Source organism: Homo sapiens, chromosome 6, assembly GCF_000001405.40.
Source record: "Homo sapiens chromosome 6, GRCh38.p14 Primary Assembly".
Classification (NCBI taxonomy): Eukaryota; Metazoa; Chordata; class Mammalia; order Primates; family Hominidae; genus Homo; species Homo sapiens.
In genome coordinates, this window is record NC_000006.12 from 64517061 (window position 1) to 64544661 (window position 27601).

General features: G+C 34.4%; 1 protein-coding gene across 2 annotated transcripts in view, besides 1 other annotated feature; it reads right to left on the reverse strand.

Moving 5' to 3' along the window:
• The window catches only part of EYS (eyes shut homolog), a 1987247-nt gene that overhangs the window by 797081 nt on the left and 1162565 nt on the right, over window positions 1-27601 (reverse strand). The gene's annotated exons all lie outside the window — the stretch shown is intronic.
• Window positions 3056-3350: an enhancer, noted in NCBI's record as "tiled region #6473; K562 Activating DNase unmatched - State 24:Quies". NCBI's record gives its function as "activates a minimal TATA promoter and a strong SV40 promoter by Sharpr-MPRA in K562 cells {active_cell/tissue: K562}" and the evidence as "EXISTENCE:reporter gene assay evidence [ECO:0000049][PMID:27701403]".

The following is a 27601-nucleotide window of genomic DNA, read 5'->3' on the forward strand; positions in this document are numbered from 1 at the left end:
AAATATTCACTTTTTCATTTATAAGATTATATACTGTCATATCTTGAAAGTCATTAATTTGGAGTTATCCTGGTCTAAGTAATATAGTACAAGAATAGTTTTTCTGGGTTTAGTAATGAGCAGATAGGGCCAAATAATTATGAATAGAACCTCACAAATTAGATACCCAAAATAAGGCACCCAGATTTCTAGTGAGTACCAGAACAAAGATGTCTGTGTTGGCACAGAGGCAGACAGCTTGAGGGATGTCTAACTGTACACTGTAGGATAATTTGCCAGGAGAGAATTTTGGGAAGATTTTGGTAAATAAGCAATAGGCAGTGGGTAGTAAAGCCATACCTGTGGGAAGTAAAAATGTATGGCAATAACTGGGTAGGGTAGAAAATAAAAAATGGTTTGGCAGTAATTGAAACTTCAGTAACCAAACTACAAGCATATCAATCAGCACAATTTTCCAGTTGGTAAAAAAGATTAAAAACATCAAGAGTTGTTGGAGAACAAGCGGACAAGAGCCTAGGTAGCAGAACAAGGGCAAAGTGGAGAGCTCAGTTAGGAATGCTTCCTTCCATTTATCTTGCCAAGGGAAAGGATCTTCATGTTCATGTGAGGCATGTGAAAGCCTCTGATTAATTACTTCTCATATTGAAACTTAAAGGGCTCTCAGAATAGAAAATAAAAAAATTACTTTTACTAGTATACTCTAGCACACATGTTCTTCTAATAATAGAACTGTACATGTACACATTATTGGAGCACCTCAAAACTTCCCCAGAAAAGTATCTACAAGCCAACTCATATTAAATCTTTGTTTCTTTTTACGTGGCAAACATGAAAATAACTTACTTGGCAAAGCACATTTAGCCCTTTGCTCTTTTCCAGCTGATGTTGCCTATGTTTCATTCAGGTGTCCTCCAAAGGTTACTTGCCTTTTCTTTGTAATCTAGCCATTTCATTAACAGAAGCAAAGATGCAAAAGTGCCCTACAAGGCTGGCCTCATTTCAAACGTTTACATGCTATTTACAATCTCCCATATGTGCTGGAAAGCTGATGTTTAACAGCTTAAAAACATTATCCAAATTTTTGATGCTGTCAGTGTAACAAAGTGACAAATTCCTAAAGAAATTATTAAACCTCTCTCTCATTCTCTATGCAGTCTAAGAAATAGACCCAATTGATTTTGGATGTAAAAAACAAAAACAAAACATAACACCTTACCTGCTAATAAAACCTTCAGACTAGTTCAGACTCCTTCTGTACCCTTTTATCCTATGGCTGGTCTCCGTCATGTAATCTAGCCCGGGCTGGATCTTAGTGGATGCTGCTCATGACATTTTCTGCTTTCTCATGCATACTCTGAGTCTATGTCTGATTTCATACCGTAAGTTGAAATGTATGGTATGTATATGTACTGCTGAAGAACTCTCTTGTAAGCTAAGTTTCCCCCTTTACCATATAATTATAAACAAAGTATATTTTATCCTTAAAAATAGTCTTTAGTTGATAATCACATTTAAATGTGACCTAAAGTCGCTATTGACCCGACGGGAATGATATGGTTTGGCTGCGTCCCCACCGAAATCTCATCTTGAATTGTAGCTCCCATAATCTCCGTGTGTCATGGGAGGAAAGAAGTAGAGATAATTGAATCATGTGAGCAGTTTCCCCCATCCTGTTCTTGTGATAGTAAACTCTAATGAGCTCTGACGGGTTTATAAGGGGCCCCCCCCTTCTCAGGGAACTCATTCTTCGCCTTGCTGCTGCCATGTGAAGAAAGACGTGTTTGCTTCCCTTTTTGCCATAATTGTAAGTTTCCTGAGGCCTCCCCAGGCATGCTGAACTGTGAATCAATTAAACCTCTTTCCTTTATAAATCACCCAGTCTCCAGTATGTCTTTTTTAGCAGTGTGAGAACGGACTACTACAGGGAATAAGAACAAATTTTACTGTGGAGAAAATAAAACCAGAAGCAGCTAGAGAACTGAAGCACATGTACTTTAGTTATTAAATCCTGAATGCAGAGCCTCCAGGAAGGTTGCTGTGGAAGAGGCTATGATACTGGGTAGGTGTTTGAGTGAGCAATAGTAGTAGTAGGACAAGGCTAAGGAAAATGCTCTCATCCTCCAGGAGATGAGAAAGAGTGGCTCACCTTTAGAAGAGTAGAAAAGACCAGGAGAACGGCACCTGCGAGGGATTATGAGTGGCCAACATCCATCAATAAAATGCTTTGACATGAGTGGTGCTGGGAGTTTCTTGAGGAAAAAAAGGACAGGGGACTTTAGATTGTTTTGTGTAAGTCGTTGTAAGTCTTTGATATAGAGATTTGCCTGCTCCTAATTTGAGGATACACAAAACACGCAGAAGCATAAATGTTGAATGAAGAGGAGAAAACACATTTTCCTCGGTAAAGAGATAAAGAGGAAAGAAATCCTAGTGGGCTTTTAAATGCCTTTATGTGTACCTGTGACTTTGTGTACCTCACTTTTAGCTGAGATGCCTCAAAATAGCTGTCAATTATCTTTAAAAAACAGAGGAAGGCACTCAATGACTTTTGAAGGCTTTGGAAAAACGGTGGCTATAAACAAGTTTTGTGCCCCTTGTCCACCCACCAATTGGAGGATGTGAAAAGGTTAACATCAGAGAGACCACAGGAGTTTGAAACTTGAAGAATATCTTTAGAGAGTATTGTCTGTGTTCTGTGAGTACCTTAAACTATGGAAGAGGGATAGTGTTCCATCCCCATAGCAAACCAAACTGGGGAGGAAGGGATGTCAAAAAACCATTCACTGTGTTTCCTGTATCTGTTGGAATTTTTATAAAAGGGTGGATAAATGTCTAACTCACATCTAGAAATATAAAGGGTAAGAAACAGTGACTGAAACTACTACCATATGCAAAATGAAAAGAGGGTTGAATTTAGCAAGAAACCGTACTTCTACCAGAAGCATGGTCCAACATTATGTGATTCTTCTGGACCCAATAGGAAACTCTAAAACAGAGAGAAAGGAGGAGAAACAGGTTTGTGCTGTCCTAGATCCTGGCTAAGAGGTTCACTGGTTCACTTGCAGGGTTAATGAGACCCTATCAAAGAGTTTCTGTAAACTTCTGTGTGGAGGTTGTCAGCTGGCTAGGGTGTTCTCAACCCATTTTGAGAACTGCTGGTGAGACTCACTAATGGAGGAGGGAATGTTCCTTAAGAAACCACAAAAATGCTCCTATGAGTCAGCTTTGTCTCATCACAAATGAGTCAGAAACACACTTTAGAGTTATGTCTGTAAAGTAAGACTTTTTTTCTGTCATATTAATTGTTTTTCTACTATTACCAACTATAGAAGGGCCAGAGATCAGGTAACACTAGGTAAACAAAAATAAAATAATCCAGCCAAGCATTTTTTCCCATTATAGACTTCTTCTCTGTAGGGGGCCTGAGCTACAGAAGGGGGAACTTGATTTTGAGTGGGGTTTGCATTTTGATTATAATATTGAGTTGTATATAAATATTAATGAATTAATACTGTAGAGGATAAATTTACTTCAGAACATTTTTATGACTTGAGAATGACAAAAAAAAATTCTGTTTCATTCTAGTGGGTGAGAGACTGGATATGCACATTGAGTCAGGAGAAAAGATTTAGTACAACATTTTAAAATTTTTTTCCCTGAAATTTTTACTTGTCCAGTGAACCACTTAGCTTTGCTACGGGGTACTGTAAACTTCATAGCACATACAAAATTATTTACTTCAATATCATTTCTTGGAACTTAAAACTCTCAGAACTCTGGTGTATCAGTTAGGATTTGATCAGGAAAAGAGAAGCCACGAGGTAAGAAAGAGTCCAATCCCAGAAATTATGGGTATTAAAAGAAAAACTTTAACAAATTAACTTAGCCAAGTTATTTGAGCAGAGATACAATTCATGAATCAGAAAGTTCCCTAAACCATTAAAGGATCAGAGACCCTCATCCAGCAATGCGGACAGGCAATATTTATTGACAGAAAACGAAGTGACATACAGGAATAGCCTGATTAGTTACAGCTCAACATTTGCCTTATCTGAACATGTCTGAGTAGTTTTCAGCCTGTGACTGACTTAAAGCTAAGTTGCTATGGTTGGCCTAGACTTTGTTACTTGTTACAAGAATACACTCTCAAGTTGCAGTTTGCTTACATATTAGGTTAGGTTACAGTTTGCTATGTACAGAGGCAGATTTAAGCCAAATTTAATTTAGTTTATCAGAAAAATTGAATGTCATGGAAGTGATGGAGAAGTGAAAGTCAGGTATCTCAGCTGCATCTGGTGGGTTTCAAAAGCTTGCCCAGAAGTCACTGGGAATTTTTTGACTCATGAGGGGCTACCACAGATTATTTCAGTCTGCAACACCAACAGAAGTAATTCTTAAGAAGCACCATCTTGCTATCTCAGCTACTTAGAGTACTAAAGTGGATGATTCAAGGAGCTTGCCCATAGATATGCTTGAAGCTGCAAGAATTACGGCTGCTCCTTCTATTCTGCCTTCCAAACTGCACAAGTGCCTCATTGACAGACTCTAACACAGAACTACAAAGGGCAGAAAACTCAAAGAAAGGTTCTTCTTGAAAAGGGTGACAATGATTCCAAGTTCCCAACCAATAATGCAGCACATCTAATTTGGCACTTCTTATTTTGTCCCTTTTCCCTTATGACTTTTTTTGTAGTAACATATTTTACTATTTTACTGCTATTATGTTGCTCTTGAAGTCAGGAGTCATAGTGATTCAATCACTTGTTCACTTATCCATGCAGCATATAATGAGAGCTTTGACTATTTTTCAGTCTCTCAGGCTCTGAGCACAAGGAGTGATAAGATGCAACTACCCAGAAGTATAGTCGTATCATTCACACTTATTTGCAATGAGAAACAGTCAAGTGTTTACTGAGAGTCCATGAATGAATAAACATATAAATACACATTTTTCATATGTGGACAGTAAGCAGTCCTTTATCTCTAGGACAACAGAATGTTGTATCTAAAGGAAGACTTTAAGAAGATATTTGAAGACGAGGTGCTGCCATTGATGTGTTAAATGTACAAACTAAAAAATTGGGAACATAAATTGAAGTATGCGGTGCTTTTCTTGTGCTACACAAAAACGAGTGTTCAATTTCAGTTGGTAATGCTTATTATATGAAGTTTTGAAACATAGTTTCATTTTATGTATTTTTTAGGGCAGATATCACCATATATCACACATAGAAGCATATATGAAACATGCTTATCACTCAGGGAATTATGAATTGAATAAGCCATACCAAGTTCTTACCACCTCTAACTAGTGTTAGAATGTAGAAAAGAACATAAACTGAGACTTAAAGGGGCAGTGGAGTGGGGTGGGAAGAAATTCTCAAAGTCCAACCTGCATCCAGAGTAAGTAAGTTTGTTAGATGAAGGGAATCCTAGGTGGTGTTCGAAGACAAATTGAATGTATCTGTATGGTCTTTTGTGAAACCAGTTTGATAAACAATTTCCTGATAATCCCAAGGCCTCCTGAAATCTCTCAAGCATATGAAATTGGGGAATCCGGGGGCAAGACTGAGCAGGAGGTGTATGGCCCCCAGTAATAGCTCTCATCTACATTATGTAGCTCTGACTGACTCTGAGCTGAATTACTGTTTTCTTCACATATTCAGGTCTTTTTGTTTTCAAATATACTCGATCGCTGAAGGTTAAAAATGTAAAGCACAATTTGTAAATAAAACAGATGTCAAAGGAAAGTACAAAATATCATTAAGTGTATCTGAATGCCAAGTTCTCCAGGTGACAGCAATGTGAAGTGCACAGTTAAAGATGAAAAGAAAATAGCTCAGTTATTTGGGTGATCAAAAGAATATCTGGATGATTAATTACATATTTGAAACTTGAAGACATTTCTTTTGTTTCATTTTCTTTTGTCTTTTCAAAAGAAAAAAATGTCAAGGGTTGATATGTCATTTTAGTTAAGGTTTATGAGCTGTTTTTTTTTTCCCCCTACAGGTGAAATCATTAACAGTTTTAGCATTTAAACAGAGCTATTTGAGCTTACAACTAAATCCTCTTGGCATGAAAGCTCTTGTTTTGCTACTCATGGTTTTAGTCTTCCTAGAAGCTGATTGATTAAAACCAATGTGCTCAGAGAATTCAAAATAAGAAAGAATACAAGTAAGAATAACTTTTGACAATGTAGGCTAAGTCAGCCAGTTTGTTTCATTTATGTCGCCTTTCTTCTTCACACTTTTTACCTGATTAAATCCCATTTTCACTTTGTGTTTATTTGTTTCAATTTGATTAGAGTTTCTGAAATGAATACTTAGATTCAAATAACTATCCATAAAGCCATGTGACTGTAGGATTTTAATTCATATATTAGTACTCGCATACACAATTATTAACAAATCAGGAAATTTCTACATTTCCCTTGAAGCAAGATACTGTATATTTAGTAAAATTCCTTGATAAATACTTGGAATGGAAGACACAACACCCATGTGGTAAAAGTTTTCTGGTTCCAAGGTTTTAGCAAGGAGGACATAAACTATTCTGTGTAAAAAGAGGAGGATGAAAATTTGTTTGCTTCTTGAGAGAGGAATGGGTGTGATAAAAGATAATAAAGAAAGAAAGGACTCAGGAAAATGAAGAGATGATTTGAATAGGCCAAGTGGAACTCCCTGAATGATGAATATCCAAAATTCAGATTTAGAATGGTGGTAAGATTCTTCTACTTGATATTTGTCATGTTCAATCAAAGCACTTCCTCCTTCCTCCCTCCCATCTGAAATCTTTAGAAAAACCATCCATTTAAAAAGTTTAGCCAAAATACTGAAATTGAAATTTTATCTATATAAATAAGAGATTTTGATGATTGAATAATTGTTTGGTTATTTCTCCTTTTAGTATTTATAACTTCTGATTTTCCAGTCTATGGTTTTACATTTTGTATTTTTGTACTTTTTACTTATCATCCAGGAAACATGCTGAAATAAATATGGAGCTAAAGATCACACATATTAACAGCTTAACTCTCTGAGATATCACCATAACCAATGCTAATAACTTATCTTCTTTCAATTTGTAGATAAGAAATACATGCTTTTGTCCATATACACACAGAACAAATATTCTTTGATATATAGATATATTTTTTTGCCATGATGATCTTAATTTTTACATATAAAATGTTTGTAAAATAATTCCACATGTTTGAACTCAGCTATAAATTTAAAATCCATTCAAAGTTAAAAACTTTAAGATAAAAATTAAAATGTCTTATAAATTTGTTTAAATTCCTTATAGATGCTGGATATGATAACTTTGACAGGGGCATAGTTTGCAAATATTTTCTTTCTGTAGGTTGTCTATTTCCTCTGTAGATAGTTTCTTTTGCTGTGCGTAAGCTCTTAAGTTTAATTAGATCCCATTTGTCAATTTTTGCATTTGTTGCAATTGCACTTGGCATCTTTGTCATGAAATCTTTGTCTGTTCCTATGTCCAGAATAGTATTGCCTAGGTTGTCTTCTAGGGTTTTTATAGTTTTGGGTTTTCCATTTAAGTTTTACTCCATCTTGTGTTGATTTTTGTGTATGGTAAGGGGTCTAGTTTCAATCTTCTGCATATGGCTAGCCAGTTATCCCATCACCATTTATTGTATAGGGAGTCCTTTCCTCATTGCTTGCTTTTGTCAACTTTGCCAAAGATCAGATGGTTGCAAGTGTGTGGCCTTATTTTTGGGCTCTCTATTCTGTTCCATTGGTCTATGGGTCTATTATGGTACCACCACTTAAAAGTGGGCAAAACACATAAACAGACACTTTTCAAAAGAAGACATACACATGGCCAACAAGCATATGAAGAAAAACTCAATACCCCCAATTATTAGAGAAGTGCATATCAAAACCACTATGAGATATCGTCTCACAGCAGTCAGAATGCTATTAATAAAAAGTCAAAAAACAACAGATGCTGGTGAGGTTGTGAAGTAAAGGGAAACTCATATACTGTTGGTGGGAGTGTAAATTAGTTCAACTATTGTGGAAAGCAGTATGGCAATTCCTCAAAGAGCTAAAAGCAGAACCACTATTGGATCCAGAAATTTCATTGCTGGGTATATACCCAAAGGAATCTAAATCATTCCACCATGAGGGCACATGCACACAAATGTTCATTGCAGCACTATTCACAAGAGCAAGACATGAAATCAACCTAAATGCCCATCAATGACAGACCGGATAAAGAATACATGGTACATATACACAATGGAATACCATTCAGCCATTAAAAAGAATGAAATCATGTCTTTGTGGGAACATGGATGGTGCTGGAGGCCATTATCCTTAGCAAACTAACGCAGGGACAGAAAACCAAATACCACATGTTCTCACTTATAAATGGGAGCTGAATAATGAGAACTGATAGACACAAAAGGGGGGCAATAGACACTGGGGACTACTTGAGGGTGGAGGGTGGGAGGAAGGAGAGGATCAGAAAAAATAATACTTGGTACTGGGCTTAGTACCTGGGTGATGAAATAATCTGCATAGCAATCCCCTGTGATATGAGTTTACCTATACAACAAACCTGCAAGTATACTCCTGAACCTAAATTAAAAGCTTAAAAATAAAAATAAAAATAAAAAACAGTGACAACACCAAAGACTGATGAGGATGCAGGGAAATTAAATCAGTCATACACTTCTGGTAGGCATGTAAACAGGTACAGTCACTCTGTAAAACAGTTTGCCAATTTCTTAAAAAACTAACCATGCAACTACCATATGATCCAGAAATTGTACTCCTGGGCATTCAAACCCAGAGAAATGAAAATTTGTGTTCACACAACCACCTGTACACAATCTTTATGGTAGTTTTATTTGTAATAGCAAAAAAATACTGGAAAAAAAACCTCTAATATCATCTGTAGACTATTACTCAACAAATAAATGGAACAAACTATTAATAGAAGTGATAACCTAGATAAATATTCAGAAAATTATGCTAAGTGAAAAAAGCAAATCCTAAAAGGTTACATATTGTATAATTCCATTTATATACTGTTTTTGAAATTATAAAATTATAGAAATCGAGAACAGAATAGTGATTGCCAGGGTTTAAGGAGAGAGCTAGGGGTGGGAGGAAAATGATTGTGACTATGAAAGGTCAACAGGAGGGATCCTCGTGGTGATAGGAATGTTTTCTTTATTAGCTTTATCAATGTCAATATACTGGCTGACATTCTACTATAGTACTGCATAACATTACCACCTGGGGAAATTGGTTAAAGACTATGTTGAATCTCTGTATCATCTCTTACAATTGTGTGTGAATCACAATTATCTCAAAGTAAAAAAGTTTAATTTAAAACAATATTTTAAAATTAAATAGACCTAATTTATTCATTTAAAAAAATTATATATTTTTTCCAGACTTAAAATATAGATTATGACCAAATTGTTACATATTGACCATTTAACATAGGTTGTACCATCTCTGTTACATTATTATGTATGTATACAATATGACTACATTTCAATAGTTTTTAAATTTTGTTTTCTGAATTTCATCACTTCTGAAATTTTACCACACTGCCTGATCATCTTTGGAAATAGGGAAAAAGAGAAAGTAGATTAGGAGTGAGATGTGAAGGCAATGGATATTATTGACATTTCTATTCTTCTGTTTAGGTTTCTAAATCAATTGAAGGAATTAAATGACATATAATCAAGTATTTAATGGCCTGAGACTTGGAGGCATGTTTCCCAAAATCCAGACTTATGTGCCACTATTTATTAGTAAAGATTCTTCTTAAAGCAAGGCTAATACTGAGTTGCATAATTGTGTTGACTTACGTACTGTTAAATTCTAAGTGATCCAACAGGTTATATTTCAGACTACCATCTATACAAAACAGAGCACAGAGAGCAGATTCCATACTGTGGATCATAGTTTTAGAATATTTAGTAATCCTTTGAGTAAAGAAAAAAAATTCTTAAAACATTTCTTTCTGGTGACATTTTGAAGCCTTTTGCAGGAGATAAATAGAAATATCTAGATTAAAAGGAAATAACTACAACAAGTTCAAAGCTAAATATAGAGATTTACTGAATATTTCCACAGTCAACAAATGTTTTCACATTTGAAACAGAAACATATTTAATGAGAGCTCCTGGGCTTAATATATGGCCAAAGTTCTATTGCCTGTTTTAAATAACAACCAAAACAGGAATAGAAAAATGGAAATGAGTAAAGCAAAATGGAAGTTGATATGCCAGGCCTAAGGGCCTTCTTCTGTTCCTTTATATTCAATGCTTTTAATAAAAAGAGAAAATGCCTGCATGTCAACTTTTGCAAATAAAAATATATGGGTTTTTAGCAGTCCTACCAGTAGGATTTCAGAGGCATTCTTATTTCTCTGACCATATACATTCTGAAACACTTTATTGTTCACACGACTATCCTTGATATCTTGATATCTTAGGTAAACAAGCTGTTTTTCTTTCTCTAAAACAAAGCAATGTTTTTGAACTATGGGTACAATTCAATGAAATATGACCGAAATAAATGCTTAGGGTAAATTAAGAAAGAAACTTTTGTTTATTATTTTAATATTTCCTACATACAAAAATAACATATAGTAAGCACATCTTATTTTATATATGATATTTAATAAGGAACCATAAATAAAAAATAAAATTTAAAGGAAACCCAAAGTATATGTTTTTTGTTATACAACATTTTACCTATAGCTCCAATAGAAAATATAGAAATTTTTGAAAATTTTAAATGTAAAGACAAGGGAAAAAGAGAAATCACAGGAGAGTACCAATTTACTTAAAAGTTATCATTTAGAGAAAAACATTCCGTTTGCTTAAAAATTGAGAATTATTTCATTTGGAGCATCATTACACAAGACAGACTTCTATATATAAGTATATCACATATATATGGATGTAAGTATACATAGACTCACAGAACCACTGTCCCAGGTTCTGTAGAAAATTAGGTCATATGGTGAAATATGAATTCAATTACAACATGTCAGCAATTTGAATGACTCTAAGAAATAATCTGGAATACATTTTTCCAAAGTTTGAAAATTGATTGCGGTATATTTCATGTTCCTCCAGGTTTTCACTTTTACCACTCTCTTTCATGCATTGACAGGTATTCTTGTTTTATTCCTCCCAGAATCTCCTCCCCTATATCATTTATCTACCAGGGACTTCTCAGTCCTCTTTTCACTTCCGCATCACTGCATGTTCCTTTATCTCCTTTTCTGTTACAATCTCTTATTACATAGTCTCCTTTATGGCTCTCAATTCCAGGGTTCTTCTATTCTTTTTTCTCCCTCATGACCTTACCCACTTCTTTAGAGCCAGTAGCCTAGTAGGGGGCTCTGTCCAGATGTTCCACGTGGATTCAAATTCATATGGTAACATTTAACCATTATTTCTCTCCTGGAATGTGTTTTGCTTTGAATCTTTTATCTTAATTTATGTCAAACATTGAACTAGTCATTCATGTCAAAAATCTTATTTTTCTATTCCCATTACTTATTTAGTACCAAGTGCTTTCACTTTGAACACTGTCTTAAAAATGTCTCCTCCCACCAATCTCAGCCACCTTAATCAGCCCTCAGCAACTCTAATTACTCCTGGGTAATTTAATGAGGAAATAGCTGCTACCAGCCACTTTTTATTTTGTCTTCTTCAGTCCATTTGTGTATTGCCACTCTACAGAGCCTTCTAGAATAACAGTCTGGTCATGTTACAGATTTGGTGAAAATCTTACAACGCTGCTTTATCAAATCTGTTCTATTGAAAAATTGTTCTATCATCAAAAAGATATGGAAATTTGTGTTAAACAATAAATAATTTTCTTATATTACAATGTTTCTAAGAAATGGAATATGTTTTCTCTTTCCTAGAGCAAGACATACAATGGTATACAGAGTTTTTTGAATCTATTAGATCCTAAAACGGTTTATATGTATCCTCCCATAAAACACTACACAGAACCAGTGTTCCCTAGGGCACATTTTGGAAAACTTAGGTCAGGATTAAATCTGACATGCTTTGTATGTACAAAGAAGGCTCTGAACAAAGTAATCCATGCCTAACTCTTTGTGTCCTACTCATGTACATCATTCAATGGCCTGGCCTCAACAAACTTTGTAGTTCTCCAAGTATGCCACAACTCTCTTTTTCTTCTTTGGTTAAAATGCTTGACTTCCTATTAGCAGTCTGTTGAATGTCTGTGTATTATGATATACCAATTCATACACAATCTTCATTCTTGATCATATCTTGATATATTCCTCCCTCTAGTGAAAGTGGTCATTATCCCATTTGTACCATTCTCCCAGACTTAATTGTGAAGATGAGAACGAGATTAATCATCTTTTTCATCCATATACTCTAGTGGAGTCCCAAGAACATTGACATTAAATAAATGCTTTTTCATTAAGTAAATGACTGAAGTCTAGTTCAACATTTAATGGACATCTCTTATGTGTCACCAACTATAAGAATTGAATGATGCTTTTCTTATGAGTATAATTATAGTACATATTTTATGAGATTGTTTTGGTAATTAAAATGAATGACTGTAAAACATTTAGAACACTGCTTGATCAGTGCTATATGAGTTTTTGTTAAAATAAAATTTAAGAAAAGGAATACTAGAGCTCAGCTGTCAAGTAGCTTATAAATCTAAAGCAGAAAATAAGTTTGCAGACTTGCTGATTGTGCCAAGCAGAACACGTTAAAATAAAGTTTTGAAATGTATGAAATGAAGATGGAGAAATAAATTCCAGCAGAAAGAATTGAGATGGAAACTCAGAATCCAATGTTAGTGAAGAAAAAGATTCTGTAAGTAGAAAGCCAGCTTCAGAGTGGCTGGTCACTTGAAATTTGTGCATGGGTATTTCTCCTATTGATGAGGAGAAGCAAGAAGTATTCAACCTTAATTGTCCCAGTCATTTTCATATGCAGTCCATGTTTAATGTTGAACTAAATTCTAGTATTTATTTTACTTAAGTCATATGTAAAACAGTCTTTTTAGTATAGTGATTTTTAGTAAAGTGGCTGCTTCAGTATAATTATCTAACACTGATAAGTAAAATAAGTAAACAATTATTTTTTTAAACTTTAACCAAATGCTTGTTTCAGACACTTAGATAATAATTTAAAAGTACTAAAATATCTAGAATTTTCATTAAATATTTAATGAACAAGAGACTTAGTAAGTGAAAAGAGTAGATGTTAATATAACTTAAGTCTAATAAAATATCTTTATTTCTCTATTCCTCTTTCTAGACAGATACTCTTACATGTTTATATCTGCAGGACATGTGTTCCTAGAGTTATGAAATATATTAAAATTTTGTTTGGTGATAAATATTTTCCAGAAATAATAAAATTAGAAAATAAACATATATGCAATAATTTTACCAATTTTACAATTATAGGATTGATTTAATAACTTGGAGATTTATAACATGATATTACTGTGAGGTTTTCTTTATTTTTCTAAGTTAAAAAGCATCACTTGATATAAAAATATTAACTAATGACTTCGTTTTTGTGTTTGGCTGTTTTTTACCCTTCTAGTGACAAGCTACTAGGGATATAACAACTCTTTATTGTTAAGCTTCTAATAATCTTGAAAAACATCTCCTGGCTAGGGAGGAAGGAATCTAAAAATGTCTCATTAAAATAATCATTTGGTAACTTTTTTTTAAATTTTCTTCAAAATCAAGCAGAATTACAGCACACAGACTCCAAAAGCTAAACGTGAGTACATCCTTTCCAGATCTAATTAATCCACAATTTGTCACAAGAAATTTATTCTACTTATATTCATTTTCTGAACAATCTCCGCCACTTTCGGGTTCTTCTGACACCCCACCTCTAACCTTTGATATGCCGGTAAAATTGGAGAGATTGCCACACTATTTTGTGATTAAGGGCAATTTCAAAAGAAATTGAGTTCTCATGCTATAGAGCAAGAACTTACCTAAAGTAGTCAAGAAACAAGAGAAACCAGAAATTGTTTTACATGAGACAGATCTCATATTTTTAAATATAGTGTACCACTTTCTTAATAAGTAAAATTAAAAGAAAAATGTAACTTAGGATACAGAAAGTCCTAAAGGACCATTACTCCCTCCTAAGAATAACAACAAAATATAAAAGTTACCAGCTCAAAGAATTAGCTAATGGTTGCTTTTATCCCTAGCAGAGAAACAGGAGAGGATTTTGTAGTACGCCTGGGATATATTGTGTTATGTATTAATAAAATTGATGAAAAATTGAGTTTTGTTTTTTGTTTTTTTTTTTTGAGATGGAGTCTCGCTCTGTTGCCCACCTGGAGTGCAGTGGCGTGATCTCGGCTCACTGCAAGCTCCGCCTCCCGGATTCACGCCATTCTCCTGCCTCAGCCTCCCGAATATCTGGGACTGCAAGTGCCCGCCACCACGCCTGGTTTATTTTATTTTATTTTATTTTATTTTATTTTATTTTATTTTATTTTATTTTTTGTATTTTTAGTAGAGACAGGGTTTCACCGTGTTAGCCAGGATGGTCTTGATCTCCTGATCTCGTGATCCACCCGCCTCAGCCTCCCAAAGTACTGGGATTACAGGCGTGAGCCACCACGTCTGGCCAATAAAATTAAATTTTAAACTAACAATTAAAATTTTAATACATTCAGAAATATTCATGCAGGGACTGTGGTGGATTACAATATCAAGGCACCCTTGCTATGGTGTAAGTCTACCCATTCGAAACTCTTTCCCATGGGCCTTCATTGAGCACACTGAAAGTATAGAGTCTGGGAGTCACACCAGTGGGTTGAAAAAAATTCTTTCAAGTCCTCTGGGCCTTTATTGCATCCATTGCTGCAGTCTCAAATAGGTGGACATAAAGCATGAGAGGTAAGACAATTCTACCAGGCAACCAGGGTTTTTATGCAATTGTCTCCAGCAGCTGTCCAAAGTCTAGAAACAGGCTTCAGGACAGGCAAATATCTCTTGAGGTTCAGAAAGTCTGGCAGGACTAGACAGCAATAAAATTTTCCAGTAACCCACAAAGTCATCACCCAGGCTACAAAGCAGAGAATGATGTTCTAGAGTTTGGAAAGTTGACAGCTATCTGCAAAATATTTAAAAAATTGGGATTTTAATCTTGCTCAGATCCCAAGTCTTGCTGAAGACGTCATAATCTCATTCTCAAAATACTTGAAAGCTGTGATCAATTAACTCGAAACCAAACTGAGAACCAGTCTACCTGCAGATTAGGTTAAATCAGGCTCCCTCAGTTTGGCAAACTAGGAAAATTACAGGAAACATTTAAAATATTCTAGGCCGGGCGCGGTGGCTCACGCCTGTAATCCCAGCACTTTGGGAGGCGGAGGCGAGCGGATCACGAGGTCAGGAGATCGAGACCATCCTGGCTAACATGGTGAAACCCCGTCTCTACTAAAAATACAAAAAATTAGCTGGGCGTGGTGGCAGGCGCCCGTAGTCCCAGCTACTCGGGAGGCTGAGGCAGGAGAAAGGCGTGAACCCGGGAGGTGGAGTTTGCAGTGAGCTGAGATTGCGCCACTGCATTCCAGCCTGGGTGACGGAGTGAGACTCCGTCTCAAAAATAAATAAATAAATTAAATTAAATTAAATATTCTGAGGAGAAAATTTTATTTACTACAATGTTTGTGATTCTTTCCCACACAACGTTCAACATATAATAAAAAATTATGAGTCTCTTGAAGGTACAATAAAATATGACCCATGGTCTAAAGAAGAAACAGTCAGTTGGAGCAACCCCCTATTTTGGATTCAGTTGCTGGAATCATCTTATAGGGATTCTTAAATAACTGTGAGTACTATGCTAAAAGATCTAAAGAAAAAAAGGGGACAATATGTGCAAAGACAAGGTATGTCAACAGAGATTGAAACTATAAAATTAATTCTGATAGACAAGCTAGAAACTTAAAACAATTCATATTAGAAATGAAGAATGTATTTGAAGGGTTCAAAGATTAAAAGCCATGGAGAAGATAAGTGAATCTGAAGGCTTTCCATAGTAATCGTCTAAATCAACATAAAGAGAAAACTTATTTAAAAAGATCAGAGCATATGATGCCTGTAGAATAATGACAAATAGCTTCTCACACATAATTAGAGCTAGAGATGGAGAAGTAAAAAAGAGTGGAACAAAAGAACTACTTGAAGAAGTATGTAGTAATCATTTTCTAAAATTGATGAAAAGCATAAATCTATAGTTCTGAGAAGCCAGCAAACTACAAACAAGATAAAGTCAAAGAATCAATTATCTATGTACATTAAAATTAAACTGCTTAGAAGCAAAGAAAACCAGAAAAAATAAAAGCAGCAGGGTTGATATATCACATCATGACATCAATGATAAGAATGACAATTGACTTAAGAAACACTGGGGCTAGGAGACACTGGAACGAAATCTTTAAAATGCTGGAAAAACTCTGTTAAGGATTCTTTACCTGTATCTATGTTTTTCAAAAAGAAAGAAGAAATAACACTTTTAGGCAAAATAAAAGCTGAGATAATTTGTCTTCGGCATATTTATAATATAAAAATTACTAAAAATACTTGTTTAAGCTAATGTAAAATTATATCAGACAAAAATCCAGAACTCCAGAAAAAACTAAGAACCCAAAAAAGTAAATATATCATTAAACATAAAGGACATTTTTCATAACACATATATACACAAACATAACTACATATGCACATGCATATGCATATGTATTTAACATAATTTTAAAGATGGTTGATTGGTTAAAGCAAACATAACAATGTATTATAGGGTTTATATCACATGCAGAAGTAAAATATGTGACAAGAGGACATAGAGAGATAAGAATATACAAAACTAATCTATGGTATTAGAAATCATAAAGTTGTTGGGGCAGGGGTGGGTTAATTAGAAAAGTGGACAAGAGAACTTTTGCTATAATGGGAATATTTTCTATTTTGCTTTTTGTGTAAATGGGCATATAAAATTGTCAAAAATCATCAAACCTAAACCCTTAGATCTCTACATTTAGAGATCTAAATTTAGATCTCTAAATTATAAAAATAATATTAAAAATAAAAATTGAATGCATACGAATTTAGCATGATGACCATATTTATTTTCTTCTTTCTTGTTTTGGTTTCAAGGCATTTAAATTAGCTACTAAACTTTTTTTTTAATTTGAATTTTTACTTTTCTTGGTTTTCTTTACCAAATTTTCTAAAATGAGTCTGTGTTATCAGAGAACATAAATATAAATCTGTTCTATGTGAAACGAACAAATGAATAAAATAATAGCATTGCCTCAGCAGGAAGAAATCTTGTTTCTCAATAAGATCTTTCAGTTTACATTAATCATTCAATAAATAAGCCAAAGTAAGCCAAAAATCTTAGATTTCATTTTTTTCTGTATTTTTCTTTTTCCCTTTTGCTTTCATTCTGCTTCTCTGATGATTATGTACTTTCTTGTCATTGCTCTTCTTTCCTCTTTCTCTTTTCATTTGACTTCTAATCTTTGGCCTGAAAATACTTTTTTCATCTGGTTTTATCAACTAATACTAAAATTTGGCTGTTCCAATTAATTATTTTGCAACTTTGTTAGCCCTAATTCTGAAACAACAACATTTTCTCTCAATACATTGCTTAATTCAACACATTCTGAGGAATTTAACACCATCTTTTTTTTTTTTTCCAATGGACAATCATCAGGGAATTAGCCAATAATGAGCTAGTGATATTGGCAAACTGACATACAGTATGACTGTTCAGGCCTTTGCAGACATCCAATTTGCACACAAAGGTGCATGCACACACACATACATACACATACACATAACACCTATATTTTTCTCAATGAATCTCCTTTTTGGGTGTATCTACTAAACTTCCTCTTTGGTCTTGCCTGTCCTTGTTCATTGTCTTAGTTTGAGATGCAGCTCATTCTACTTAGTTTTATGCTTGCATCTGACCTACTGATTATCTTGCCTTCCCAACCTTTATGTGAGTTGGCATTTTTAGTCTCCCTTTCTTTGCACTCTAAACTCACCAACTCCCAAATTCTCTGGGAATGTTCTTTGACCGATATTGAACAAAAATTCTTTTTAAGTCTGAGAATAAGAATTTTTTAAATCTGACTTTAAGGCCTTAGAATACTACTGTTTCTCTTACCTTCTGATTAATATACTCCTGAAATAATTATGAAATCATAAATGAACAAATCTCATTATGTCAAACCAGGCATTAAGTAACTCAAGTTGAAGAACAGAATAACATGTATTTAGGATACTAAGTTGTCATACCAAAATTACCTTGGGTCTACAATCACAAAATTAAAATCAGCCAGGCACAGTGGCTCACGCCTATAATCACAGCAGTTTGGGAGGCTGAAGCAGGAGGACTGCTTGAGCCCAGGAGTTTGAGACCATCTTGGGCAACATAGTGAGACTTTGTTTCTACCAAAAAAAAAAAAAAAATCAGCCAGTGTGGTGGTGTGTGCCTGTACTCCCAGCTACTTGGGAGGCTGAGGTAGGAGGAATGTTGAGCCTGGGAGGTCGAGGCTGCAGTGAGCCATGATTGTGCCCGCTGCTCTTCAGCTTGGGCAACAGAGCCAGACCCTGTCTCAAAATAAAAAAAAAAGAAAAAAATTCAATTAAATTCATTAAAACATTGACGGATTAAAATGATTTTTCTGTAGCTTTTAAGGGAGTATGCTATCTTAAGTAGTTAACCATTTTTTTGTCATTTTAACTTATTTAAATGTCAATATTAAGTTCAAGAACATTGATATAAAATATCATCTTAACCTTAGATTAAGACTTGCATTATTATATTAATCATTTTACAACTTACTTCTTTAAGGCTTAGTTTTATTTTTAATTCATTGTTTTATTAGACTCTGATGAGAATATGAATTTTTAAAAAGTTTGTTTTCTAATACCATATATCAACTATATGTTATTAAACATAATTTTAGCATCTATTTTTATATAAATATGTCAAAAATCACATGAAAAAGCAAATTATAGTGTGTATTTTCATTCATATCTTTTTGATAAAAAAACTATATTAACTAATGATAAATAATTTATTATTCTGTATGAATAAACTTCTTTTATCTGAAGTCCTCTTACCTGCTTCGGGAAAACAAATGTAAGGGAAAAAACAAGTAAAACAAATGGAACAAAAGGGGAAAATAAAAAAGATCTTCCTAATAAACTATGTAACAGAGATCATTCACCTTAACTGTCAGCAGGAATTCCAGAATAAGTCATTTATTCAGTGATGGTAACTTCACAACATTATGACGACAATTACAGGTACTCTCTATTACATGGTTTAACATTGAACCTCAACTTGAGTTGAGTCAGTGCACTGGAGTAGCAAAATAAATAACTGTGACATTTTGAAATGTCTGCATATCACCAATATATGCATTGATTTTTCATTTTAAAAGTCTACCCTTTTTCCAAATTAATCTTTATATTTTCTCCCCAAAATTTGGGTAATGCATAGGGCTACATCCTACTTGCTTGAAAAGTGAATGGAACCATTCATATAGTTATAAGAATCTCTACAAATAGAAAAGAAAATTTAGTAAAAGAGAGATAAATAGCATTTACCATTTGGCTTATAATGTAAATATCATGCAATGTCCTTAGTTGAAGACCTGTACTTATTAACAAAATATATATATATAAAATTATATTTATTTCTTTACATACATAAAAATATCTATTTTTTAAATAAGTATAAATCTTTAGCCAATCAGATTATATGATTTTTAATTTAATAGACCACTTTGTCCAAGAATCTTTTTTCCCTCAATTAATATACATTTGTTTATGTATTAGAGCTAAATTTATGTGTCTCTTTGTAAAATTTATTTATTTTGTTTTTTTTTTATTATACTTTAAGTTTTAGGGTACATGTGCACAATGTGCAGGTTAGTTACATATGTATACATGTGCCATGCTGGTGCGCTGCACCCACTAACTCGTCATCTAGCATTAGGTATAACTCCCAATGCTATCCCTCCCCCCTCCCCCCACCCCACAACAGTCCCCAGAGTGTGATATTCCCCTTCCTGTGTCCATGTGATCTCATTGTTCAATTCCCACCTATGAGTGAGAATATGCGGTGTTTGGTTTTTTGTTCTTGTGATAGTTTACTGAGAATGATGATTTCCAATTTCATCCATGTCCCTACAAAGGACATGAACTCATCATTTTTTATGGCTGCATAGTATTCCATGGTGTATATGTGCCACATTTTCTTAATCCAGTCTACCATTGTTGGACATTTGGGTTGGTTCCAAGTCTTGTAAAATTTATTTTGTTGAACACATGGATAAATCAATACATTCTGACTTTTTAAAAAGTCCATTTTGTTGATTCCTATTTCTTTGACAGTAAAACATATATTTTTATTCATATGGCTTTTCTCTCAAAATTTATCGCCCTAATATTTAACTTTGCCTTCTATAGCTGCTCAAAGTTACTTATTAGACTTCCACTTAACACATAATCTCTCTTGTAGAGTACACTTAAGTATTTTTTAGAGACTTCATGATGAGTACTTGGTTGTCCCTAAGTTTTTCTGACAATTTTGTTATTTTAACTTTCATTTCTTGTTCTTAACCCTCTTAAATGAAACTTCCTATTTGTGATAGACTTATTCTTTTGTTCTTGACTTTCCATTGCAACCACCTCTGGGGTAATATTTTTAAAAGAATGTTTAGAAATCAAATAGGAGTTTAGCTAACTATGAATGAGAACATATTTTCATTACATGTTTGAGGAATAGATTTTTTACTGGGTAAGAGATCTCAGGCACAATTCTGGCTAACTAAAATATTGGCTTTAGCTACATAAGGTAAGACATTTAATAAGTGTCAGGTCTATACCATAGATGTCATGATTAAACAAGCTACTAAGTGTATAGCTAGGATGCATTAAAAAATTGTTCGGGAAATTTTTGGCAGAAGAATATTATCCAGAATCAGATTTATGAGGATGCAGTAAAAGATTAAGATTTTGGCTGGTGCTCATGGTAATACGGTCTAAGGGAACCAAGGTTTTATTTAAGCTTGAGGTATGTTGATGTACTACCTAATGGTTATCAAATTTTTGTTTCCAGGAATAAATGATTTAGACAAATTAGTTCATAATTCATTAGGAGAAAAATATATTGCTTAAAATCTATTGATAACTAAAGTTGAATAACTTTTAATAACTTTGATTTCTGAATTGATCATTGGTATTTTCTTTCTGGAGCCAGAAATAGGCAAATTCTATAATTGGTAAGGTATGCATATTTAGTCTTTTATAAAGATGGCTTTCAAGGTTATTCAAAACCATATAGTGTTTTTGCTTTTCATAATATCTATGCCCTTAAATCATTTTCTGTATGCTTATTTGAGATTGTTCCTTCTATTAGGTCAAGATTTTATAAATTTCAAGGACTATTATCCTGCTATAGTACAGAATACATTTGAAAGGCCAGTGGTGATAGTGTTTTCCACCCAGATAACAATACTAATAAATTATTTACTAAGTGCACTTATTGTGTCCAAGGACTGCAATAAATGCTCAGCATGCATCTCCTTTAACTATCATAAAAAAATCTATAATGGGTTTTAATTATGACCACATTACAGATCTTTTTAAATGAGGCTTAGACAACTTAAATTCCCATTATCAAATGGCTAGTAAGCGTAGAACTAGGATTATAAAACAGATCCATTTGAACTCAAAATCCATGTTCTTTCTACTCCACCAGGAATAACATATCTAGTAATTGCGCTGCTAACCTTTTATGATGCTCATCCCCGCTGAGCCCAGATGTGCTCTAAATTAGTGCTCTTATGTTCAAATCAATCACCCGAGAATCTTGTTAAAACACAGACTGTCATATAAATGTGGAATCATACAGTAATTGTCTTTTGTGACTGGCTTATTTCACTTAGCATAATGACCTCAAGTTCTGTGCATGTTGCAGTTGTTGTTTAATGGGTACAGATTTTCACTTTTGCAAGATGAAGAAGTTTTGGAGAGTGGCTGCATGACAATGTGAATATACTTAACACTACAGAACTTCACACTTAAAAATTAAGTTAGTAAATTTTGTGTTATATGTATTTTACCACAGGTTTTAAAAGTAGACTCTTAGTGGGGTACAGAGGCTCCTGTCTGTAATATGAGTATTTTGGGAGGCCCAGGTAGGAGGATCGCTTGAGAACAGGAGTTTATGCCAGCCTGGGAAACCTAGCAATACCCTGTCTCTAGAAAAATAAAAATAAAATAAAATAATCATCTGGGTGTGGCAGTGCACATCTGTAGGCCTAGTTACTCGGGAGGCTGAGGTGGGAGGATAGCCTGAGCCCGGGAGATTGAGGCTGCAGAGATGATTATACCACTGCACTCCAGCTTGGGCAACTGAGTGAGACCCTGTCTTAAAGAAGCCAGAAAAACAAAACAAAAAATGGAATCTTATTTGCTGGGTCTGGGATGAGCCCAAGGTGATGCTGATGCCACTGGTTCATAAGCACCCTCTGCCATGCAAGGGTATAGATATTTTTCTCCAGGGTGACCTCTAAGAAACCACTGCCATTTGATTTGAATTGGCATGTAAGATATTAATAAAACATATTGAGTTTTTGCTATCTACTATACTTTCTTTCCAACTAACATGCATGTCCTCATTCACACTAGTAGGACAGGTGAGCAAAAAGTGCCCATTGCTTCTGATGCCCTTCAATTTCCTAGACAGTTCAGATTCTAAGAATGTCTTTGGCCTTGGAAGCATTTTTGTCTTAAACTTCTGAAATAATTGTGTCCTGAAATACCTTTTGTGATATTTGTTGAAAAGTTTCCTCCTACTCTGAGAGCTGAGAAGAGAGGAACCATTTCCAAGCTGCTGCTACATATCAAAGAGCCTGTCTTTTCAGCTTCACTGACAAGTGGAATGATTTTCCGGAGTCTGAGAAAATATCAGGCAAAATCTTTTCCAGATAAAAAAGCTGCTGTCAGCTGCCTGCAGCTGAGGAAGCAACTTTAAATCCTGTGGGGAGAATTTCTATTGCAACCTCAATCCCAGATTCCAGCTTCTGTCTTACATCCTTTTTTGGCTTGACTCTGCTCAAGGAGCTCACCAAACTAAGGAAAAGAAAGTTAGCAGGACCTACGGGTCTCACCTTCACACTGCCAATCTCAAAGTTTTCTCTTGAGGAAACCATGGTAACAGACGCCTGTTCAGAGAAGCAATGTAAGGTGATTATTTACACATAACCTATTGTGCTTTGTAGCCCCACCCTCACATGATAAAGCCAATAGAAATTGATGCTGAGGTCCAAGTACAGATTTTTTTTTTTTTTTTTTTTTTTTTGAGATGGAGTCTAGGTCTGTCACCCAGGCTGGAGTGCAGTGACACAATCTCGGCTCACTGCAACCTCTGCTTCCCAGGTTCAAGCAATTCACCAGCCTCAGCCTCCTGAGTAGCTGGGATCACAGGCATGCACCGCCACACCCAGGTAATTTTTTGTATTTTTAGCAGATACGGGGTTTTGCCATGTTGGCCAGGCTGGTCTCGAACTCCTTACCTCAGGTGACCCACACGCCTCGGCCTCCCAAAGTGCTGGGATTACAGGCATGAGCCATCATGCCCAGCCTACAGGTTCTTCTAATACCTAATTGAAGTGTCCTGACATGACAATTTTATATTACATGGCAATGTGCTATGGCAATAATATCTTCTGATTTGGGAAGTGAATATGATACAAAGAGAATTAACAGGAAAGCAGAGAATCAAGAGATGCCTTCTACTATGAAAATTATTCCCAGAGCTGCACTGACCTTGAAACTCACCTGTTGCTCCACGGCGGCTGAGTTAATTTTTCTTTACTTTCCCATGTGTCTTCCCAATATATTTGCATTCATTGGAATAATCCTGAGTTCTCTTGATTTCTTGCAAATTGAAAATGCCTAAACACAGAATTAGTTTTGCCCATTGATCAAGCCTTAATAAATCTTACAGATTCTGGCCTTGACCAAGGCTATGATCTCCACTCCATCAGTGACTGGCCTGAGCTGGCTCTGGAGGGGTCCGGCCAGGCCTCTTACTAAGTTATCTTTATAGTTTTCATGGCACCTGTACTCAGGGGCAGCTCTGTTTTGTATTTAGAAATACCTCATTTTCAAGAAAGATATCTGTTTTCATTATTCCTATTATAGTCCCAGCAGCCTTTAAAAAAATGTGCTTAGCCAGTCAAAATGATAATCTTGAGATTTTTCTAACTTTACCTTTTTCTCCTACTTATTTGCTTAGAGAAAAGAGTGGTCATCTACCTCTCCAAACTGTATGCCACCACTACTGTGCTCTTAACTAATATTTCTGATTTGTCAGTTAGGAATTCCTTCCTCTCTGTTTCATTTTTTTTTCAGAAGCCTCCAACATACCATGTTTTCTATTCTTTCTTCACGTATTACTAAAGTATATTTTCCCTTCCCTTCCATATTTGCTATTCTTTCAACTTTGCCATTCACCTTCCTAATCCACTGATATTTCAGGAAAGGTTCTTTTTCCATTTCTGCTATTTATTACCATGTGGCTTACTTCATCCTACTGAGACATCATTTCTACATTTGTAAATGGGGATTAAAAATGCCTGCATTTCCTACTTTGCAAGGATTTGTGAGAATGAAAGATGGTAATACAATGGAAGTGTTTTGTAGTTATAAAGTTTTACATATTATCTAGAGAACTATCTTGCTTTCATTTTATACGGTCAGAAACAAGATATTAAATAAGGAAGTGCTCTCAGAAAGAAAGACCTTTGCATTTAAAAATGTGGTTCATCATTTATATTTATTTAGTCACACACCATTTTAAAAAGTGTCATTACTTTTTTATCTGTATGATATATATTATTTTTGGACCTGAACTCACAGTTTGTTAAAATGCAAAGATAAATAGAAATCAGAAAGCTCTGAATATTAGTTGTCAAAAATAATAAAATAGTTCACCTCTGAATTTTGATGAGCAAATCAACAAGTTCAGTTTTCCATCAAGAAAGAAAAATAGCTGTCTCATTCAAATACATTTTTTAATTTATATTATATTAATATTGCTGTCACAGTGACCATTATGACTTCAAGTAATCTATGTAAACATCATCTAACAAAATGTACCTGAGAACTGTGTTTCATGCTTACCAATTTATTATTCTGCCTATTTGGAAGTTCTATTATTACTAGCATACATAGTTTATATACTTCTTCCCTTAGGGAGGAAAAACCTCTCAATTATACTGTTTATTAGCTAAGACAAGAACTCTAGCATTTACCTGAATATAAAGCTTTTGGATAGAGGAGACATATAGTTTAGTGGGAATTTTGGGCACCTAAGATTTATTGCCAGATATTCTTGTTAACTTATTTGGTCTACAGTGATTGTGAAAGTAGGTTTTTGAGCCTTGTCCCCTTTGTCATTCCAAAACTGAGATTAAAGCAATGCTCAATTTTACATTTAAGATGAATAAAGTATGATTATAAAATAACACATATAAAATGACCAAAAATTAATAATTAATTGTCTGATGTGGACCATTCAAGCACATCAGACACCTAACAATTAGGATAGATGAGCATCTTTCATGAAAGGAAAGTTAGCATCTATATTTTTAAGGAGGCATATGATAATAAGGACTACAGAGCAATTACTTTGAGAGTGCTTCTACTGTCACATTTTAGAAGAGGTTCTAATGCAAGATTTCTGTTTCATTTCTTATTTTTAATTTTACCAAGAAACTCTTGAATTTGCAATTGTATACCACAAATAAATGCATTAGGTACAAGTGCCTCAATGTCCTAGGAAATTGATGTCTTAGTTCAAAAGGAAATGCTGTTACAGCTTTATAATTGAGTCATATAATTTCCATGGTTGAGTAGATGTTGGCTTTCACCGGTCCTTGTCCTTTAAAGTCCACCACCTGACACATCACCACAAAGAACAGGTAATTTATTATTTTTTATTGCCATTAATTTATAGCTTTAAGTTTCAAAGGAGAATTATAAGTTACCACAATATCTGGAGCTTTTTAAGTTTTGTATTCCCCTTTGACTGCTTAGGATAATCTAAATCACCAGAGATTAGAAAAGAATCATGAAATAATGTTCAAATTACGGAAAAACAGACTTTAAAAAACAGTATTAAAATGGAGGTAAATTATCTTAGTGGATTATTTATTTCTGACAGATTTGCCTATATTGTAGTTAAAGAAATTGGCTTTTTTCCTTGATTTATAATGATTTTATTTATAGAAAAAATATAATGGGACAAATTTTCTTTGGATCTAAAATTTTTCTTAAAATTCAAAATTCAAATGATAGTTGTGGTATTATAAATTTGGATTCTATTTTATTTAAAATGTTGCCACCTCTGAAAATGGCTTAAAGGCTCTATCACAAAATGTTTGCTAGTAAAATTAATACAATACAATCTAGCTGTATTAACACAGAGCACCAATCAACTTTACCAAACACTATTTGCAAATAAACATTTGTAATCAAGAATTTTGGAGACTTAAAATCCATCTCACTTACACACTAGTTATTGAACTTTGAGGTCCAGAGAAGAAAATAATTTATCAGTTTCCTATCCTGTGATGTGAGAATAATAACAGGCATATCATAGAAACTTGTGAGGATTATCCCTCTTACATTCATACGAAAACTAAAGTCTAGAGAGGCTAAGAGATCTTAAGGTATCACAAAGAGAAACTTGTAGGTTTAGTATTCAAACTTTATATGCCCTGCTCTAAAATGCTACATTTTCCTTGATAAGCACATAATCACATACAGAGTTTCAGATTATTTAATTTCTTATTCATAGAAAGAATATGTTGGATGTATAAAACATATTTCTTAGGAATTATTATCTACAAAACGGGTTTTAAAATACTGTTAACTCCAATCACTTAACAGTTTGAGTTGTTTTGGATGGTTCACCAGTCCCTATAACTCTTGCAGCTTACTGCCATTTGGGTTTCTCAGACAAAACCACAGCCTTCTACTCGATTTGAGAATTTTTCTTTTTAACCTGTACACTCGCTAAGAGAATACAATTTGGAATAAGTTGACAGAAATAGCTATAATAGTATATGTAGTTGCACACTGACTGTTTCAGTCAAGGCACAATCAGGGAAAGAAAGTGTTGCAATTAAGTGAATTCAGATCAAAGATTTGGTTAAGATGGTAAAGAAGGAGCTGAGGACCAGTCAGAACACAGTAAAGGAACATACATATTAGGAACTGCAGGAAACCATCTAGCACTCCTAGACTGGAGAGAGAAAGGAAAATTGTGGTGTCACTTGAAGTAGCACCAGTCCCTGAACAGAAGCTGGAGATGGAGACATGGAGGACATGTAGTCACTTTAAGAATACCCTTCAAAAAATCAATGAATCCAGCAGCTGGTTTTTTGAAAAGATCAACAAAATTGATAGACCACTAGGAAGACTAATAAAGAAGAAAAGAGAGAAGAATCAAATA